The 21485-nt window shown below is 42.6% G+C and overlaps 2 protein-coding genes across 3 annotated transcripts in view, besides 3 other annotated features; both read left to right on the forward strand.

The window, feature by feature from the left end:
- Positions 1-19790, forward strand: part of PHOSPHO2-KLHL23 (PHOSPHO2-KLHL23 readthrough) — a 57410-nt gene extending 37620 nt beyond the window's left edge. Inside the window, exons 4-6 of one of the 2 annotated variants that reach the window (NM_001199290.3) lie at positions 2925-4139; positions 9297-9449; positions 17334-19790. In NM_001199290.3, coding sequence (NP_001186219.1) covers positions 2927-4139; positions 9297-9449; positions 17334-17644 — 1677 coding nt within the window. In that variant the 5' untranslated portion in view covers positions 2925-2926 and the 3' untranslated portion in view covers positions 17645-19790. The remainder of the gene's footprint in view (positions 1-2924; positions 4140-9296; positions 9450-17333) is intronic. The other variant, NR_144936.2, reaches the window with a different exon arrangement.
- Positions 1615-2054: a silencer, noted in NCBI's record as "silent region_12083". NCBI's record gives its function as "represses an Ori minimal core promoter by ATAC-STARR-seq in GM12878 lymphoblastoid cells {active_cell/tissue: GM12878}" and the evidence as "EXISTENCE:reporter gene assay evidence [ECO:0000049][PMID:35858748]".
- KLHL23 (kelch like family member 23) lies at positions 1744-19790 on the forward strand. The gene is made up of 4 exons (NM_144711.6): positions 1744-1999; positions 2925-4139; positions 9297-9449; positions 17334-19790. The coding sequence occupies exons 2-4, from the start codon at positions 2927-2929 to the stop codon at positions 17642-17644; spliced, it is 1677 nt and encodes a 558-aa protein (NP_653312.2). The 5' UTR covers positions 1744-1999; positions 2925-2926; the 3' UTR covers positions 17645-19790.
- Positions 2075-2144: a silencer, noted in NCBI's record as "silent region_12084". NCBI's record gives its function as "represses an Ori minimal core promoter by ATAC-STARR-seq in GM12878 lymphoblastoid cells {active_cell/tissue: GM12878}" and the evidence as "EXISTENCE:reporter gene assay evidence [ECO:0000049][PMID:35858748]".
- Positions 2255-2434: a silencer, noted in NCBI's record as "silent region_12085". NCBI's record gives its function as "represses an Ori minimal core promoter by ATAC-STARR-seq in GM12878 lymphoblastoid cells {active_cell/tissue: GM12878}" and the evidence as "EXISTENCE:reporter gene assay evidence [ECO:0000049][PMID:35858748]".
- Positions 19791-21485: the final 1695 nt, after the last annotated feature.

The raw sequence follows: 21485 nt of genomic DNA on the forward strand, positions 1-21485 counted from the left end.
CAGATGTTGGGATGTTAAACTTTCATCCTTCTTCCTTTTGGGTCCAACACATTCTCTTATTTGTCCATAAGAATCACCTGCTGCCCTTGATTAGAATGCAGATCCCTAGGTCTCCACCCCGCAGACGTCTGTGCGTGGGGTGTGGTAGTTGTGGGGGCTGCATAACCAGCATCTTACATAATTCAATTAAGATGATCTGACTTGTGGAATTAAACTAAAACCCACCCACAGGAGAACCAACAGATGCTATTTATTCAGAGTTTGCTGTAGAAGGGAGTCCCACTCACCATCACTTTGTCAGAGGCTCAAAGGTGGGGCAGACGAGTGGGAAAGCTTTATAGAAGTGAAGAAAAGCCCCCGGTATGCTCTGATTGGAAGTTGTTGGCATGGGAAAGCTGCAGGTGGGCTACTAGAAGCGGGGGTATTTTATGTGATGGGTTTGCGGAACATATTTGGCTTTCTCTGGTTGGTGCAGAGGTGGAACTAGGGGTAAAAATAGGGAAGTTGCACTTTGGAAGTCCCAGGCAGGAAGATCGCTTGAGTCCAGGAGTTTGAGACCAGCCTGGGCAACATAGTGAGACCCTGTCATGAAAAAATATTTAAAATTTTTCAAAAATTGCACATCTGTAGTCGTAGGTACTTGGGAGGTTGAGGCAGAGGATCTCTTGAGACCAGGAGATCGAGGCTGCAGTGAGCTAAGATCGTGCGACTACATTCCAGGCTGGGCAACATAGCAAGACCCTGTCTCAAAAAAGAAAAAAAATAGGGAAATTGCCAGTCGTTGACTACTTCCTGACTGTTCTGGTTCAGCTGCTACCAAGGTTGTGGTCTGGCTTCCTGGGCTTCTTATGTGGTTCAGAGTTCTGTTGTCACATACTATCTGGCCATTCATGTATATTGCGTTTCTGAGACCATACTCTGGGAAACACATGGTCCTCTGGTGGTGGTGAAGGTCCCTGTGAGCTAGGGACCATCTGTCAACACTCTTATCACTACTAGTGTCTATCCCTATCAGGCACTAGAAGCACTTAATAAAATCTTGCGAATGAATGAATGAATGATATACAAAAATATTTGATACTGGCTTTAGTTGGAACAAGAAAATGAACTTTGTGTACCACATAGACATCTGTGACTAGAGTGGCCGTCACCAGAAAGGCTGCTCCTTCCAGCTGCTATGCTCTAAATACAATAACCTGAATCTTAGCACGACTGGACTTCGCCTGGACTTCGCCTTGGCCCCGGCTGCCCAAAGTTTCTCTCAAAGCTTCAGCTTAACCCCTGATGTGCTCACCAGCACCAAGGCGCCCTCCTGAGTGCTTTGCTGGGGGTGGGATGGCGTTTGTGGGAAAGGCCGGCTACTTCTGGCATTTCAACGGCGCCTCCAATCCCTGACCTTTAGTTGTGCCCCATTCTCTCCACTCTTTCCCCCTTCTCTGTCCTCACGATTGAGTCTGGGCTGGCGAAGCCTACTGAGGGAGGGGAGTGTACACACATGCACACGCGCGCGCGCGCACACACACACACACACACACACACTCATATATGGTGTTATTAATAATTCAGGACTCAGAGTTTATCTAAGAGAAGACGCTCGACCGGGTGTGAGAGAGCGCGCGGGACAGAGAGCGAGCCAAGGAAGGGGAAGGCGGCGGCGCGCGCTGTCTCCTGGGGAAGCAGTCCCACCTGCTGTGGGGGGCGCCGCTGGGGAGGGGCCGAGCCGTGCTCACGCCTGCACGCCCCGCCCCGCTCGCCGCACGGCCCGGCGACGGGGGAGTTCCCGCGAGTGGCCTCGCGCCCAGACCGTGCGGGGGGCTGTTCGGGTGGAGGCGGGGGAGCCGCCGGGACACCAAAATAGGAGCTGCTTGTGGGGTGGAGCGGCACTAGCTGGCGGCTTCCGAGCGCCTCTTCCAAAGATGGTCAGAGGGGCCGGAGGCGTCCCCGCTCCCGCTCGCTACTAGCCCGCGGGCCAGCGCCGCGTCCCGAGCCCCGGCGGGAGGTAGGTGCGGTGTGGACCCGCAGCCCGAGGCCGGCCTGCTGGGAGCGAGCGGGGCCGGGCGCGGGGAGCGGGGCCGGGCGCGGGCAGCGGGGCCGGGCGCGGGCAGCGAGGCCGCGCGGGAGAGGAGCGCAGACAATGGCCGCGCGGGCGCCGGGCCGGGCCGAACGCGTTGCGCTGGGGCTGCCTGCGGCGTCCTTCCCACACCTGCGCGGAGCGCCGGGCAGAGGGACGCGGGCACCGGGCCCGCGGGCGGCACGCGGCGCCCTCGAGTCCAGCCCCGCTCCTGGCCCCGGGGCGGGGCGGTCTCCGGGCGGGAACGTGGGCCGGGGCCCAGGCGCGGGGCGCGCGGAAACCCCTGCGGCGGGCGCGGGGGAGGGGGCGAGGGCTGCAAGGGCTGCGCCGAGCTGCCTTCCTTTCTCTCCTTCCTTAAGCGAAAGGGCTCGGGATTTCCCTTTTCCGAGACCTCTTCTTGTCCATTTATATTTCCATCATCCCTTTCTTGGCATTTCGATGTGATTTGAAAGGGAGACGAGCTTGGGGAAAAGGTTGAATTGGGGCCGAGCCGAGACAGCTGAGGTCCGGCCTCGAGTGGGGTGACCCTCGGACACTTGCCTTGCCTAGTGTGGGATCTCATCTCCGAACGCCAGGCCAGGGTAGATTGCGGTGAATGGAATAGCAAATCAGTACTCTCAAAAGGACTACTGAAAAATCCAGGAGCCTCATTTCAAGCTCCGAGCTACCCTGAATTTAAATTGACCACCATATAAATGATCAAACAGTCCATCCACATTTTGCATTTATTATTTAGATGCTGAACTTAGTCCAGTTTTGGAGTATATCCGATGATAGTCAAGTTATTTAGCGTTGATTATTTGAGAGAATGTGCAACATTGAAAACACATTTGTTATTTCATATTTATTGCAGCCATGGCTCTAAAAGGACAAGAAGATTATATTTATCTTTTCAAGGATTCAACACATCCAGTGGATTTTCTGGATGCATTCAGAACATTTTACTTGGATGGATTATTTACTGATATTACTCTTCAGTGTCCTTCAGGCATAATTTTCCATTGTCACCGAGCCGTTTTAGCTGCTTGCAGCAATTATTTTAAGGCAATGTTCACAGCTGACATGAAAGAAAAATTTAAAAATAAAATAAAACTCTCTGGCATCCACCATGATATTCTGGAAGGCCTTGTAAATTATGCATACACTTCCCAAATTGAAATAACTAAAAGAAATGTTCAAAGCCTGCTTGAGGCAGCGGATCTGCTACAGTTCCTTTCAGTAAAGAAGGCTTGTGAGCGGTTTTTGGTAAGGCACTTGGATATTGATAATTGTATTGGAATGCACTCCTTTGCAGAATTTCATGTGTGTCCAGAACTAGAGAAGGAATCTCGAAGAATTCTATGTTCAAAGTTTAAGGAAGTGTGGCAACAAGAAGAATTTCTGGAAATCAGCCTTGAAAAGTTTCTCTTTATCTTGTCCAGAAAGAATCTCAGTGTTTGGAAAGAAGAAGCTATCATAGAGCCAGTTATTAAGTGGACTGCTCATGATGTAGAAAATCGAATTGAATGCCTCTATAATCTACTGAGCTATATCAACATTGATATAGATCCAGTGTACTTAAAAACAGCCTTAGGCCTTCAAAGAAGCTGCCTGCTCACCGAAAATAAGATCCGCTCCCTAATATACAATGCCTTGAATCCCATGCATAAAGAGATTTCCCAGAGGTCCACAGCCACAATGTATATAATTGGAGGCTATTACTGGCATCCTTTATCAGAGGTTCACATATGGGATCCTTTGACAAATGTTTGGATTCAGGGAGCAGAAATACCAGATTATACCAGGGAGAGCTATGGTGTTACATGTTTAGGACCCAACATTTATGTAACTGGGGGCTACAGGACGGATAACATAGAAGCTCTTGACACAGTGTGGATCTATAACAGTGAAAGTGATGAATGGACAGAAGGTTTGCCAATGCTCAATGCCAGGTATTACCACTGTGCAGTCACCTTGGGTGGCTGTGTCTATGCTTTAGGTGGTTACAGAAAAGGGGCTCCAGCAGAAGAGGCTGAGTTCTATGATCCTTTAAAAGAGAAATGGATTCCTATTGCAAACATGATTAAAGGTAAGTGGAGATTATGTTTATTTTGTATTTTTTAGATGTCTGGAGCTAGGCCAGCAGTCTCACTTCTCTTGAATTTATCACTTTGGGATGCTATCTAGGAACTATAGTTAATTATACAAATAATGCTACACAGAATGTTCCAGATAAAAACAGTATAGCATAGTTCCCAACTTGTCTGAGAGTTATGAGAATTTATATTCAAGTCAAGGGCTAGATGAAGAGACAAATCTGGACAGTTTTTCATTTTTTCATGTTCTTAAAATTGAACCCTTTAAAATTCTGCTATTCAACTTTTTCCTCTCAAAATACGCTGATCAGCTCTCAAGAGGTCCTTCATTAAAACCTTGGAAGGTTTGGTCCCTACAGGATGTAACAAAGTACATTCTTCCAGGAACTAGAGACAACGTCTGCTTTTGCAATTCAGTCCTCTCTGAGAGGGGCAGACACCATACTCTCCCTCATGTGGCCCACAGAACCCGGCACACCCCTGGGTCTCGGTATCTGTCTGATAAACACTATTTTCTGCTGTGTTTGGCGATTTGTTTGCCTTGCTCTCCTTCTCTCCCACTGGAAAAAAAGTTAAACGGGAATCTTATTTCATTGTATTTATTCATTGGTGCTGAGGAGTTGTACAAAAACAACTGGTAGGTCGTTACCAAATTTGTATCATTTTGTCCCAAATGTTTCTTCCCAGGCTTTTCTGTTTCTTTTTTAATGCTAGTGAGAGTGTGGGAATTTGACCTGGTCTGGAAATCTGACCTGGTATGATCCTTGGATGACAGGCAGGAAGCTGAGAGGCAGAACAGTCTTGGGATCAGGCACGCTGCCTCTGAAGCTAAACTGCCTGCATCCAGATCCCTGCTTTCCTCTTACTTGCTGATGAGCTCTGGCAAATTGTTTAATCACCCTGTGCCCCCGTTTTGTCATCTGTATAATGGGGATGACAATATTACCTAGTCTCGGATCATTGAGAGGATTAAATTAATCTATGCTTGTGAAGTGCCTAGAACAGTGTCTGACACAGAGTAAGCATGCTATAAATGTTACGCATGATTGTCCTGAATGTCGGTATTGAAGGACATGTCAGCTCTTATAGAGCAGAAATTGATTTCATGTGAAGTTGTGACCACTGTCACACCAGGGTGGGAGAAGGTAGCAGAAAGCCCGGTGCTGTTGCTCCCCTGGTTTTTGTCTTTGCCTGAGTCTCACCACTACTTGCCGATTCCAGGAGGGCTCTGAATGTCCTGACCCCTCTTCTGCAAAAGAAATAAGAAAAGTCCATATATTTAAGGAGCTATTGTAAACTAGCATACATTTCTGATTCTGTTTTTTAAGGATGATATAACAGTTTCAATGGTTTTGTGGTTCAGAGTATATTTCTTTTTCTTTTTCTTTTTTTTTTTTTGAGATGGAGTCTCACTCTGTCTCCCAGGCTGGAATGCAGTGGCGTGATCTTGGCTCACTGCAACCTCTGCCTCCCGGGTTCAAGCAGTTCTCCTGCCTCAGCCTCCTGAGTAGCTGGGATTACAGGCATGTGCCACCACACCTAGGTAATTTTTGTATTTTTAGTAGAGACGGGGTTTCACCATGTTGGCCAGGCTGGTCTTGAACTCCTGACCTCAAGTGATCCCCCCACCTTGGCCTCCCAAAGTGCTGGGATTACAAGGGTGGGTTCAGAGTATATTTCTTTGAGAATGAAAGCTTATTACTTTACTGAAATTTTAAAAATTTATATTTAGAACAGTGCTTGTTGAAAAAAGATATGCTGCGATGGTGTATCTACTGTGAAACAAAAGCCATATGCATGCTTGCGTTAACCTTGAGTGGAGTAGGAGACCCTCATACCTCAAAGTCCTCCCTCACCTGCTAACTGGGTCTGAAATTCCAGTTTTATACTTTGAACTCAAAGCTTTGATTCTTGTTTATATCTAGTCATCCCAGGGAGAGGTAACACTGCCAGTTATGTGCAGTTTTGACTACTGCTTGTTTTGGTGGGTGGACTCATACAGAACTTTTTTTAAACAATTTTTAAAATTTTATTTTTAATTTTTAAAACTAGAAATGGCGGGGGGTCTCACTATGTTGCCCAGGCTGGTCTTGAACCCCTGGCCTCAAATGATTCTCCTACCTTGGCCTCCCAAAGTGCGGGGATTATAGGTGTGAACCACCACACCCAGCCATACTGAACTTTTAGATTCCCATTTTTTGGTAGAAAGGATAACATTTTTTTCAATTCGTTTTATTTTGTAGCCTTGAAGTGAAATAGCAGCTTTCTCTGGTAATAAACTTAATTTGGGTACAGTCAAATTTAAAATTTATTACCTTTTTTTGGTCCTGGACCCAAATTAAGTTCACTAATGTACAGAGAATAAATAAATACTTGGCTGTTTAGGAACTCCTGAATCTTTATTTTTTTCCATCATAACTGCTCTACTTATAAATCCACTTTTATTTTGGAATAGAAAGGAACAAGAAGATTGAACTGTATCATGCAAAATGGTGCTAGGTAAAAGTTAGTGGAAAGACAAAACCAACGTTTTCAACTAAAATGATCCTCATCATCTTTCTTCCTTTCTTCATCTTCCCTCCAAACCTATTTCCTCCCCCTCCTCCCCCTCCCCTTCCTCACCCTCCCCTCTCTTCCCCCTTCCCCTCCCTCTCCTCCCTATCTCCCTTTCATGTTTCGCCTATCTTCCTCTTTCTTCCTCCTCCTTCCCTCTCCTCCCCCTCCTCCCTCTCCTCCCCCTTCCCCTCCCCCTCCCCCTCCTCCCCTTCCCCTCCCCCATCTCCTCTCCCTCCTTCTGCCTTCTTCTTCCTCCTCCTCCTTCCCCTCCCTCTCCTTCCCCTCCTCGACTTCCCCCACCCCTCCTTGTTTTGGCATCAGTGATTCCAGTTTTTCCAGCTCAGGACCTCAAAATCGGTTTGGTTTGCCTCTGCGTCAGTCAGTCATCAAGACCTGTGTGTTTTACCTGTCTCTTTCCTCTATGCTCTTCCCTCCATACCCAAAGCCCCTTCAAAATCAGGCCCTCGAGACCGCCCACCCTGGCCAGTAACTAGATCTTTCTGGTACCTGTTCTTCCTTTGTTAGTTGCTCTATTCCTCTGTTTAAAAACCTTTAAAATCTGGCTGAATTAAATCCAGATTCTTTGTTGGGCATCAGTAAGTATCCTTTGCTACATGGCTTCAACTTACCATGCCAGCCTTAAAGTCCCATGCAACAACCCTCAATGTGCCACCTGCCCTGGTCAAACTGGGCTACTTAACATTGTCCAGTAAGCCTTTGCACTGGCTTTTCCCTCTGTCTAGAATGGCCTCCTCTCATCTATACTTGCCAACTTCCTACCATCACCCAGGTCAAATTCCACCACCACCTGCTGTGATTTCCCTCGTCAAATGCAGTGTTTTCTTGCCCTGACCATGCCCAGCAGTTCATCTGTCCCTTTTTTCATGGTGTTTCTTCCATTTTATATCTAGTGTTCTAATTACAGCCATGTGCCACTTAACAATGGGGATATGTTCTGAGAAATGTGTGATTAGGCAATTTTGTCATGTGAACGTTATACTTAAACAACAGGCTATACCATACTAATTCTACAGCCTAATACACACCTAGGCTGTGTGGTATAGCCTGTTACTCCTAGGCTTCAGACCTGTACAGCATGTTACTATACTGAATATTCTAAGCAGTATAACACAATGGTAAGTCTTTGTGTATCTAAACATAGAAACAGTACAGTAAAAATACAGCATAAAAGATAAAAATGGTAGACCTATTTGGGGCACTTACCATGAATGGAGCTTGCAGGACTGGAAGTTGTTCTGGTTGAGTCGGTGAGTAAGTGGGGAGGGATTGTGAAGGCCTAGGACATTACTGTACACTACTGTAGACTTTTTACTTTTTTTGAGACAGGGTCTTGCTCTGACACGTACGCTGGACTGCGGTGATGTAAACATAGCTCACTGCAGCCTTGACCTCCTGAGATCAAGCAATCCTCCCACCTCAGCCTCCCGAGTAGCTGGGACTACAGGCACATGCTATCACACGTGGCTACTTTTTTATTTTTTGTAGAGATGTGGTCTCACTTTGTAGTCCAAGCTGGTCTCAAACTCCTCCTGGGCTCAAGTGATCCCCTGCCTCAGCCTCCTAAACTTCTGGAATTACAGGCATTACTGTAGACTTTATATAGCTTATAAAAATACTTTCTTTTTATCCTTATTCTATAAGCTTTTTTTTTTTTTGAGACGGAGTCTCGCTCTGTCACCCAGGCTGGAGTGCAGTGGCACTGTCTTGGCTCACTGCAAGCTCAGTCTCCTGGGTTCACGCCATTCTCCTGCCTCAGCCTCCCGAGTAGCTAGGACTACAGGCGCCCACCACCACGTCCTGCTAATTTTTTGTATTTTTAGTAGAGACGGGGTTTCACCGTGTTAGCCAGGATGGTCTCAATCTCCTGACCTCGTGATCCACCCACCTTGACCTCCCAAAGTGCTGGGATTACAGGCGTGAGCCACTGCGCCCGGCCTCTATAAGCTTTTTTATATTATATATATATATATATATATATATAACTTATTTATTGATTTTTTTACTCGTTAAACTTTTTTGTTAAAAAAGTAAGACACAGACATACACATTAGCTGAGGCCTATACAGGGTCAGGATCATCAATGTCAGAGTCATCAATATCACTGTCTTCCACCTCCACATCTTGTCCCACTTGCAGGCTTTCAAGGGCAATAACAGGCATAGAGCTATCCTCTCCTATGATAATAATGCCTTCTTCTGGAATACCTCTTGAAGGACCTGCCAGAGGCGTAGATTTATTTACAACAGCATCACCAGAAACACATGAGAATGCTTTATGCCATGTCTTTAAAACAGCTACCACAGTATCACTAGGTGATAGGACATTTTCCACTCCATTATAATTTTATGGAGATCATTGTGCGTGGTGCATGGCTGTGTTTGTGTGCACGTCTCACCCTCTCTTAAGAGCACAAAGAGCCTTCCTTTTTTATTCTTTTGTCCCTTATAGCACTTAGCACAGTACCTTGCATTTTACCATCAGTAATAACAAAAACAACAATAAATTTAGCCCAGGGTTCACTGCAAAAAAGAACAAAAGATCAATCTAAAGATGTGATTTTAATTAATACGTAGGTGTGGGAAATGCTACTGCCTGTGTCTTACATGATGTTATCTACGTCATTGGTGGCCACTGTGGCTACAGAGGAAGCTGCACCTATGACAAAGTTCAGAGCTACAATTCCGATATCAACGAATGGAGCCTCATCACCTCCAGTCCACATCCAGGTAACAAAAATACTGTCTCAAATAGTGTATGTTGTGATGTAGTTTAGTAGCATAAAGGATGGCTAAAAATGGACTGGAAATAGAAAATGCTGATTTTATTGTAGACTACACATGGGTAGAATTAAAAGTCTCAAAATATTCATATATGTCCATCTAACAATAATCACAATGAGATTCTGATTGGGTCACATCTACAAATATTTTCCCTGATGTCTTTATACAATGCACATTGTAAGTCTGTGTGGTCAAAAATATTAGCGTCTTTAAAATTTTTTTCCTTTATATGCCATCTTTCATTTATGACATTAATTATATAAAATACAATGTTCATAAGTAGTTGAAAAGCACCATTCTATCAAATAGTCAGAAAGGGTACCCAGTGATTGAAGTTCAGCTAGAAATTGTTTCCTGTTTTAGAAGCATGTTCTTTCTAGGTTTCACTTACTATTAAGCACTCACTCCTACAATGTGCAGAGCCATATGTTGGCCTTACCTTAACACTCATACAGGGAACATGCTGTCTGCCCATAAGGAATGGCCTACCTTCTTGGATGTCTTCTGTTCTTTGACTTGTGTCTTTGTGAAGAGCTCAGAGGGAAGCACAAGTTTTAGTCTGTTTCAGTTATGCCATAGGTTTAAGTTGTTTTCATTAGGAAAGATTCATATCATCGTACCACCATGTTACCTTGAATCATTTTCCATAGAGCATCAGGCTTCCATGTGGGTCAGTGGAGGGGGTAGTGGAAATTCACAAGCTGGAACCATCTGAGAGGACTAGTAATACTTACCATAGATCAGGCACTGGCTAAGCACTTCATATGTGTATTACCTCAGATTCTCACTACAAGTCTGTGAGCAGGTATTGTTTGTCACCATTTTACATATTTGGAAATGGAGGCTTAGAAACAATAAGTAACTTTTCCAAGGTCACAGTTTCACAGTTTGAAAGTGGTAGACCAGGGTTCAAAATCTGACAGTCTGATTCCATAACTTGTGCTGTAGCCACTAAACAATCTGTCTCTCCTTCAGGGAGCAGACTCTCCTGCTTTCAACCAAGGCAGCTACTTCCAGCCCATACATCATCTATCCCATATGATGGTTAATCTGAAGCACACCTAAATCTGGTGCTGCATCTCCATATGCCCAGGCTTTGCATGAGAAGGAACTTTAGCCCCAGGCTTCCCTGGCTGCAAAGACACCATGGAATGGGTAAACTTCTCCCTCCTAGTAGCCCAAATGGACCATCCCAGACTCCCCACCACTTTCTGCTGTGATCAGTGAAGTTATAATGGAAAGGAATAGTAACAACTCACAGTGAGAAATAGCTAGCATTTATTCAGTCAGTGTGTGGCAGGCACAAACTATTCCAGTAATTTTACATGTATAATCTGTTTAAACCTCAAAATAATTCCATGAGCTAGGTACTGTTTTTATCACATTTTATAGGACACTGAGGGTCAAAGAGATTATATAAATTGCCCAAGGTTAGCCAGCTAGTGCTTATTAGAACTGAGGTTCAAACCTAGACAGACTGGCTTGAACTTCACTATTATCTCACCTGAACCTCATGTTACCCTTAGAAGTTAGATGTTACTCTGCCTATTTTGTGGATAAGCTTATCTTTACAAAGAAAATCCGATACATGAAAAGTCAGAATTCACAAATTAGAGGGCAGTTATTTATATTATAAATTTAATGTATATGTCATTAAGAGTTTCCCTCAAAAATAAGTTTTCCATAACAGATTTCATATAGCTTATTAACTACATGAAAAAGAGTCTGAGAGACAGTGTCACTTTGGACTTAATCCAAAGTATTAATAAGTCATGGCAAATTGAAAATCCAAAATAAATGTTAAATTATAATATAAATCAATGGTAACATAATATGCATCCACATGTAGTTTTGATTTACATTGAACTTTTTCCTGATGAAACATAAAAAACAGATTTTAAATCAGTACCTTGCATGATGTGTTCTGTTTAGCTTTCACAGTCCTTAAAATATTTTTGAACTGGCTTGTTACCAATATTTAAAATTTAAGAGAATTTCAAGTAAAAATCATTATTTCTGTCCTTTAAAAGAAAAGGGAAGACCTAGCAGCCTTGGATGTATTCCTTCTAGGCAGCAGTCACGGGAGCCAGGGGGTAGCTGTTCCCCTAAATGAGGCTTGTGTGCTCCGTTTCACCACAGTCCTTCCAATTCTCCTCACGTCACTGACCTAGGGGGCCTGTGCCGTTGTTTTTCTTGCTCCCAGCTGGCTTTGCTCAGCTAGTCTGTTAAATCCTTAAGCTCTTGAAGGCTGTGCATCTGCATCCACTGAATTATAGCAAGGTTTGTTTCTTAAGGATTTTAGCAGTACCTCCTGAGGAATTAAAATGTCATCCTTGAGTTGACTTCATAGAGATACATTGCTTACACTGAGAAGAAATGACTACTATTATTTTTTAAAGATAATATAAGTATTATATTTTATCTTAACCCCTTTAATGGGGTAGTTTGTGTAATTGGAAAACATGGGACTATAGTTGCATTGAATTCAAGGTGACATTTATTGAGACCCTACATTGGAAAAGGTAGGATTCTGATAATTATGTAAGATGATTAAGTGTTAGTCTTTACTGCCGTAGGAGCTCAGAATCCAGGAGCAAATATACATACATAATGGAAATACAGGACAGTCTCTGCTAAGTTCTGTAAAAACAAGTGCTATTGAAATTGAGAATAAAAAGAGTGTAAGTCTAATTAAGGGAAATCTGACTATCTTAGAATGCTTCCAACGGTAGGTGGTTATGAGCTGGGCCTTAAAGAATGGCCCCAAATAAGGAAGGTAGTTTTTGAGGAAGGGTTTTTCTGGCAAGAAGTCAGCCCAGTGGAGGAAGGTGGAAAGGAAAGTTTCAGGTGTATTCCATTACCTGGGAGCAGACATGAATGAATGGAATGTAAGAGGGTAGAATGGGAGATCGGATGGGAGAGTTCAGTTGGAGAGCATGTCATGGAGAGCTTTGAATGGCAGTCTGGGTAATTTTTTTTTTTTTTGAGATGGAGTCTTGCTGTGTTGCCCAGGCTGGAGTGCAGTGGTGTGATCTCGGCTAACCGCAACATCCGCATCCCAGGTTCAAGGTATTCTCCTGCCTCAACGTCCCAAGTAGCTGAGATTACAGGCGCTGCTACTTTGCCCGGCTAATTTTTCATATTTTTAGTAGAGATGGGGTTTCACCGTGTTAGCCAGGCTGGTCTCAAACTCCTGACCTTGTGATTCACCTTCCTCAGCCTCCCAAAGTGCTGGGATTACAGGCTTGAGCCACCACAACCAGCTCAGTCTGGGTAATTTTTAAAATGCAGAATCATAAAGGTTTTCGAGCAAGAGAATGATGTGTGATCAGCTCTAGGTTTTTGTTTTTTGTTTTTTTTTTTTTAAAGACAGTCTCGCTCTGTTGCTTAGGCTGGAGTGCAGTGGCACAATCTTGGGTTCAGCGATTCTTGTGTCTCAGCCTCCCAGGTAGCTGGGATTACAGGCATGCACCACCACGCCTGGCTAATTTTTGTATTTTTTTTTAGTAGAGACGGGGTTTCACTATGTTGGCCAGGCTGGTCTTGAACTCCTGGCCTAAAGTCATCCACCCGCCTCAGCCTCCCAAAGCACTGGGCCACTGCACCTGGCCCAGCTCTGGTTTTAAGAAGAGAACTCTTGGCTGGGCGCGGTGGCTCACGCCTGTAATCCCTGCACTTTGGGAGGCCAAGGTGGGCGGATCATGAGGTCAGGAGATCGAGACCATCCTGGCTAACATGGTGAAACCCCATCTCTACTAAAAATACAAAAAAATTAGCTGGGCATGGTGGCGGGCACCTGTAGTCCTAGCTACTCGGGAGGCTGAGCCAGGAGAATGGTGTGAACCCGGGAGGCAGAGCTTGCAGTGAGCTGAAGATCGTGCCCCTGCACTCCAGCCTGGGTGACAGAGTGAGACTCCGTCTCAAAAAAAAAAAAAAAAAAAAAAAAAAGGAAGAGAACTCCTTTTAGGTAGATTGGGAGAAAGACAGCAAGGGGATCTACTAACACTATTGTGTTTAACCAAGGGAGAAATGCTGAAAGCCTGAAGAAGTGGTAGGAGTAGAAAAGAGGGGCCGATGTGAGGAATGTCATAGATTCAACAGCTGATTGCTTCCTTGGCTGACAGCATACAGGAGATGAAGGAGAGAAAGGAGTTGACAGTCGTCTCAGGGTCTCTGGCCGGTTGTCTGAGAGAATGAGGTATACTGAAGGAGAAGCTGACAGGAAGGGAGAAGAGGGGAGATGATGAGCTCGATTTTATAGTTTAGAGCAAAGGAATCATTGGATAACCCAAAAGAGCTGTCCAGCAGGCAAAGGGAAATGTGGGTTTGCAGCTGAGAAGGAGGGAGGTAGCTGAATGTAGAGATCTGGGGATTGTTTGCTTGGATGGTGGCTCTGGGTATGGGGATGAATAAGATGCCTTGGTAGGGTGGGACCAGCAATACAGCTATGGGCAGAATCCTAGGAAACGGGCAGAGTTGAGGGATAAGCTGAGGAACAAGAGGGTGTGAAGAGCCGAGAGGAAGCAGTATGTGATAAAGGAGGACCTGTGGAGAGTTGTGTGAAGTGGGGAGAGAACTTTCCTGGCCCTGCCATTTATTTACCTGCCTTGCCATCGGCAAGTAGACTAAGCTCTTGGGCCTTACCTTCCAGTGAAATCAGAAAGTTAGACTACATAAACTTTACAGGCTCTTCAATGAGAAAAGATCTTAGGAAAAAAAATTGAAATCAATTCAAATGGATATTGTGGTTTTCTCTGAATCCCTCTAGCTGTTTGTTCATATCACTCATCTAACACTGAATACAGACTGCTGTGTGTTGATGTTTTATACTTCTGTGTAAACTTTTGAGCCGTGACAGATGGTGTCACTCCCATTCTTGATTATTCATTTGTTCACTCATTCATGTCTAACATATCTGCTGTGTGCATCCTACATGCTGCTATATACTCAGTGCTAGGAGCACAGTGAGCAAGGCACAGTCCCAGAGCCTCAGTGGCTTAGAGGGGTTAACTAACAAGAAAAAACGCAATTACAGCTCAGGAAGAAAAAGTTCCTATCCACAACAATAGAACATGTGTTGTATTTGAGTAAAAGAGAAAAAATGATTAGGAATCACTTTACTTAAATATTTTTACTGCTATAGGAAGACAGATGGCTTTCTTAACATATGAATCAAAAATTGGGGTGTTTTGATAAACTTCAAGTAATTTAAGAAAAGCCTAGTGAGTGATGTTGAATCACTTTTACCAACTGATAAAATATTTGAACTATCATTTTCACAATAACCATTAGTTGAATGATTCATATAATTGATATAAGCAGTGTTTCACAAGTACTTGAAACAAGTAAATCCTATAAAAATTCAACATATAAATAACTGGAAAGTAAAAAATGAGTTTTTAACAAGTAGGATAATTATTTTCTTGGATGTCAGTAACGAGAAAAATATGTGGAAATGAAGCAAAAATGCAATCTTCTAAGACTTTCCTTAGCTGTCAAAACCTAGGGAGGGCCAGGCACGGTGGCTCACGCCTGTAATCTCAGTGCATTATTTGAGTCCAGGAGTTCAAGACTAGCACCTGGGCAACATGGCAAAACCCCATCTCTATTAAAAATACAAAAATTAGCCAGGCATGGTGGTGCGCACCCGTAATCTCAGCTACAGTGCACACCTGTAATCTTGGCTACTTGGGTGGCTGAAGCATAAGAATCACTTGAACCCGGGAAGCAGAGGTTGCAGTGAGCCGAGATTGCGCCACTGCACTCCAGCCTGGGAGACAGAGCGAGACTCTGTCTCTAAAAAAAAAAAAAAAAAAACTGAGGGAGAACTTTACTGGTAAGAAGTTGTCTTCCACTCCTAAAGAGGAAATCACTTTTTTTTTTTTTTTTTTTAAGAGACAGGGTCTCACCGTGTTGCCCAGACTAGCCTTGAAGTCCTGGGCTCAAGCAATCCTCCAGCCTCAGCCTCCCCAGTAGCTAGGATTACAGGTGTGCACCACCACATTCATCTGGAAATCGCATTTCTGATTGTATTATTCTTTCTAAAGAGGGGCTTGCTTATAAGCTTTCCTTCTACGTTATAATGTGAGGACACATTGGGACACAAGCGTACAAAGTACAATTCATTCATTATTCAACACATATTTATCGAATTCTCACAAGGTGCCAGACAGTTGCCATTCTCCAATTAGGAATAGGTTAGTGAGCAGGACACAGTTCCTGTGCTGCCAGGAGGGAGAGAGAGACGATAAGAAACACACCTGGCTCACACCTGTAAGCCCTGCACTTTGAGAGGCTGAGGCAGAGGAGGATCTCTTGAGGCCAGGAGTTGTAGACCAGCCTGGGCAACAAAGGGAGACCCCATCTCTACAAAAATACAAAAATTAGCCAGTTGTGATGATGTGTACCTATAGTCCCAGCTTCTTGAGAGGCTGAGATGGGAGGATTACTTGAGCCCAGGAATTTGAGGCTATATTGAGCTATGATTGTGCCATTGCACTCCAACCTGGGTGACAGAGCAAGACCCTGTCTCTAGGAAAGAAAAGAAAAGAAACATTCCAGATAATGAGAAGTGCTATGGAGAGAATTAAAATAGGATGATGTGGTAGAGACGCCTGCCTGGCCACTTCAGGCTGGGTGGTCAGGGAATGCCCTTTGAAGAGGTGAGAGTAAGACAAGACCGGAATGACAGGAAGGACGCAGCTGTGCAGAGACCTGGGGAGAGGAGAGACTTCAAGGCAGAAGGAACAGCTCAGCGATAGTGCGCTAAATCTTTCCTTGCTTTAATTTGAATGCACTGACAAATCCTCCTCTTCCTTTGGGGCTCCAGCGAAAGGTTTTTAAGTGTAATTTTATGACTGATATTCCCAGAGAGTGAACTGACAGGCTAGGAGTGACGATAAAAGCGGGTGTGTGGAAGAAAACAGGGCAGAGACCAGGATGAGGCAAATGAGATGCTTCAGGCACAAAATGTAAGGCCATGCAGTGCAAATGACTCACAGAGTTCTGCCTCCCTGCATTTTGCACCCTAAGCACTTCGCTAGCCTCACTCTTGTCACAGCCCTGGGAAGAAGGGAGAAGTAGAGTTGTGAGATATGCTGGTGCTTTGAAGATCCAGCAGGTTTGGGTGTAGAGGGGGAGATAAAATGGAAAACATTAAAACAGCCTAGGAGGAGGACCGCCCCCCCCCCCCCCCATATACATACTTCCAGCCCCAGGACCCGGATCCCACACAGCAGCCCTCCGCCTGGGGGCACCCTTCACAGCTTCTCAGGATGATAGACTGTCATGCCCCACGAGTCTGGGTACGTTTCTTTAGCTTCTTGAGTTCATAACTGGACTGGCAGTGTGAGAAGCACACAAGGCCACCCTGTGTGGCACCTGTGACAGCAGGCATGCCAGATTGCCTGCCATTGGTTAAGGAGACAGCTGCCAAGACCTGAAGGGACACCACTGCTTATCGAGGGTATCTTTCTATAAGGATTCTACTGCTACCATCTTTTACAGATAGGTGTCAAGTAAAAGTTGTCTGTGTTGGGAAATTCCCAGAAAGGTGATCTGTTGGGTGAGTTCCTCCCTGGCCTCCTACAGAGCCAGCTAAGGACAAGCTGAAGGATAATGGCAGCATGGCAGGAACAGGCGATCTGAATTAGGTGACAGGGAATGATTTTCAGCCTCAGCGTTGCAGTATTGTGTGCCTGAATCAAAATACCACCACTCCCTATTTTTTGTGTGCTAAATTTTAAAGGATTATTACATTACCACACTGTGGAATCTCTTTTGTTTGTTATCCTTTAAAAAAATGCTGTTTTCTTTTTTTCTTTTTAAAAGAATATGGATTGTGCTCAGTTCCGTTTGAAAATAAGCTCTATCTAGTCGGCGGACAAACTACAATCACAGAATGCTATGACCCTGAACAAAATGAATGGAGAGAGATAGCTCCCATGATGGAAAGGAGGATGGAGTGCGGTGCCGTCATCATGAATGGATGTATTTATGTCACTGGAGGATACTCCTACTCAAAGGGAACGTATCTTCAGAGCATTGAGAAATATGATCCAGATCTTAATAAGTGGGAAATAGTGGGTAATCTTCCCAGTGCCATGCGGTCTCATGGGTGTGTTTGTGTGTATAATGTCTAATTGAATCTGCAGAAATGACCAAGCAATCACTTTTTTGGAGTATAGTTTTATAAAAAAAGAATGCAGGGTTTGAAGTTCCTTACCTGATAATTGTGTCTGGCACATGATAGGGGATCAGTAAATTGTAATTCCTAACCCTACTGTACTCCCAAACATGGTGATTCATGGTCAAGAAAAATCTTATATATATATATATATACACACACACATATATGTGTTCATATATATGTATACATATATATGTGTATATATACGTATGTATACATATATGTGTATATATACGTATGTATGTATACATATGTGTATATATAGTATGTATGTATACATGTATGTGTATATATACGTATGTATGTATACATATATGTGTATACATATATATGTGTGTATATATATACACATATATACGTATATATGTGTATATATATACACAGTTGAATCAGTGGGATTAATACCTATAATCTCTGGTTTTCAAAGGTAATATAGAATATTTGACACTTGGTAAAAGGTGAACTACCTTTGTAGTGAATCTTTTCCTCTTGGTAGCATCAACACTGGGGATAAATCAGAACCATTCTGTGGAATGAAATGTTTCTCAAGAGCCTATAATATAGTAGATAGTGCATATTAAGATGTCTGGCTGGGCATGGTGGCTCATGCCTGTAATCCCAGCACTTTGGGAGGCTGAGGCGGGAGGATCACTTGAGCCTAGAAGTTGGAGACTAACCTGGCGAGACCCTGTCTCAAAAAAAAAAAAAAATCAATTTAGCTAGCAGGAATTTGACATTTAAAGAGGGAATCTTCTCTACCTCTACAAAATCAACCCTTAACACTTTTTTCACCTTCAGAATTATTTAGAATGTGGATTTACTTTGTCTAGTTTTTTCCTTTATAGTGTAATTTATTGTTACTCTCTATTTACTGACTACCAGAGATATACAAAATACTGTGCAAAAGATTGTTACTGTTCAAAGAGCTTACAAACTAAATTTAAAAGAATAGCAAGTCTGAAAAATAGAAGATAGTCAAATATTTGTTTATGCTAAGAACTGTTTTTAATTTTCAGCTTTGATGTAAATTGCTAGCTTAGTTGTCTTTAGTTCAAGCATGTTAGGAAATCCTCTTTATTCTTAAATATAGATACATGTCTGCATATATGATTGAATTTTAGAGCCAGAAAGCATGTAGAGCAGTTGTGATTAGTAGAAAATACACTGACAAGAAGATATTTGCATTTATTTCCCAAAGCTGCCAGTAACTAGATTTTGTGACTTAAGTCATTTAACCTCTCCTTGATTAGAGCTTCCTGAGCCATGCACACTGGCACTGCAAATCACAGACAGGCCTAGATACAGATCCCCTCACCCCTTGCTACATCCAAAGGTGGCCTGGGTGGCTGGAGCCTCTGGGCCAGAACCACCTTTGTCCATTTTCCTCAGTGTGCCTACAGCATCGCTTTCCATGTGTGCCATAACTTGGGAATAGTTGGGATGTGTTGCTTAACTCCTTTACACCATTAGTTATCTGTGAGACCATCTATTCCACACTCTTCATTTTTTAAAAAGAGACAATAATTATTTTTAACTCACTGAAGTTTAAAACTACCTAGCATTTCTGATTAAAAAAAATTTAGAAGGAAAATTTTAATGCATTTATTTCAGATGGCGTTTTAAATAGATACAACCCTTTGGAAACACAATATGGTACTACATAGCAAGGGCTGTAAAAATGACCATATCCTTTGCCCCATAAATTCTACTTCTATACTTTTAACCTTAAAAATAATTCAGAAAAAAGATAAATGCATGAAGACATTTATGTCTGCATTCTTTATAATAACAAAAATTGGGGAAAAAAACTCCATGTCAAGAAAGTGGGATAAGAAAAATAGTGAAGTATTATACTGCCATTAAAATAATTATTTGGAAGACTGTAGAAACGTGGACATGTTTGATATGGTAAGTAAAATGAGCACAATACAAAATAGTATGCATACTATGATTGTGACTTTGTAAAATCTTTATGCATGTGGAAGGTAATCTGCAAAACAAATTCATTGTGTTAGTGTAGCGGGATATGGAATGACTTTATTTATTTAAATCTTTTCTTTAATATTACTTTGTATTTTCAATAAAAATAAATCACTGTACATAGTAAGACTGCTTGAATTTGGGCTGATTGGGTTGCAGGATAGTCTGAATTAATGAAAACAAGTGAGTTATACACTACTTCAATCTGTAATTGAATTGTAGACTATTTTATTGCTCTGAAGAACATTTAGCAATTAATGCTAGAACTAATATGCTGCTCAGTAGTGCTTTAGAGATCCACTTTATGGCATAGGTGAGAACAATTGCAGTCACCTTCCCCTCCTTTGCCAGTTTATGTAGGTCCTATGAACTCCTGAGTCAAGTCTGGCCTTCTCTGGAAAGTCTTTCCTGTTTCAGCCACAGTAAGACTCCCATTGTCACATTTAAGAATTGGTCATTTATATATGAATTGTGTATCTCTTGGCTAAGTTAGAGATTATGGACCGCATCTTATTATTGGCCTTCTCAAGATCTAGTATTTCATATGTACGTCCAGCATACAAGGACGATGATATGGATTATTTTTACAGAAAAGCATGCTGGAGGTGCTTGAAGGATCTTGAAAATAGTTTGTGATCTGAGGTATTTAATTTTCAGCTCCTATTTTCTGTTTGTTTTTTGAATTTTTATTTTTATTTTTATTTTTTTATTTTTAGTAGAGAGAGGGTTTCACCATGTTAGCCAGGCAGGTCTTGAACTCTTGACCTCAGGTGATCCGCCCATCTTGGCGTCCCAAAGTGCTAGGATTACAGGCATAAGCCACTGCACCTGGCCTCTTTTTGAATTTTTAAAATGCTGTACTTTGTGTCAAAAGCTCCTGTTTTCTGTTAGAAAACATTTTTGCTATGGATTTGTGCACAGCAAAAAGGATTACAAAGGTGTACAGGTTTGTCAACTTTTTCAAATTTGAAGTCACTGCGGTATGATGAAAAATATTTTACTAAGGCCAAACATTTTAGTAATCCCAGCCTGTAATCCCACGCCTGTAATCCCAGTACTTTGGGAGGCTGGGGTGGGAGAATTGCTTGAGGCCAGGAGTTCGAGACCAGTCTGGGAAACATAGGGAGACCTTATCTGTACAAAAAATAAAAAAAATTAGCCCAGCATGGTGCATGCCTGTAGTTCCAGCTACTTGGGAGACTGAGTAGGGAGGATCCCTTGAGCCCAGGAGTTTCAGGTTACAGAGAGCCATGATCACACTGTACTCCATCCTGAGCAACGGAGTGAGACCTTGTCTCTACAAAAAAAAAAATATATCTATCTATCTATCTATCTATATATATATATATATCTATATATATATATATCTATATATATATATCTATATATATATATCTATATATATATATATCTATATATATATCTATATATATATGTATGTATGTATGTATTTTTGTATTTTTGTCTTTCACTAAAATCAAATGCAAGCCATTGCTTTGGGAGGTCAAACATTATTTTACAAAATAGTGAAAATCATGGAGATTATTTTAAGCGTGGATTAATTAAGATGAGTTTATCCAAATTTTAGAAGCTGTTATTTCTCTTAGGTTTTATTTTCAGTGTTTTAGCTGGAACTGAAAGAGGATTAGCATCTAGGGTACTTGCTCAAAGGCACATTGCCCTATGTTTTCACATTTATATAAATAAATATCTGTAAGCCCCAACTCTCAATGTGACTATATTTGGAGATACAGCCTTTATGGAAGTAATTAAGGTTAAATGAGGTACTGAGGATAGGGCCCTGATTTAACATA

This window comes from Homo sapiens, chromosome 2 (genome assembly GCF_000001405.40).
Source record: "Homo sapiens chromosome 2, GRCh38.p14 Primary Assembly".
Lineage (NCBI taxonomy): Eukaryota > Metazoa > Chordata > Mammalia > Primates > Hominidae > Homo > Homo sapiens.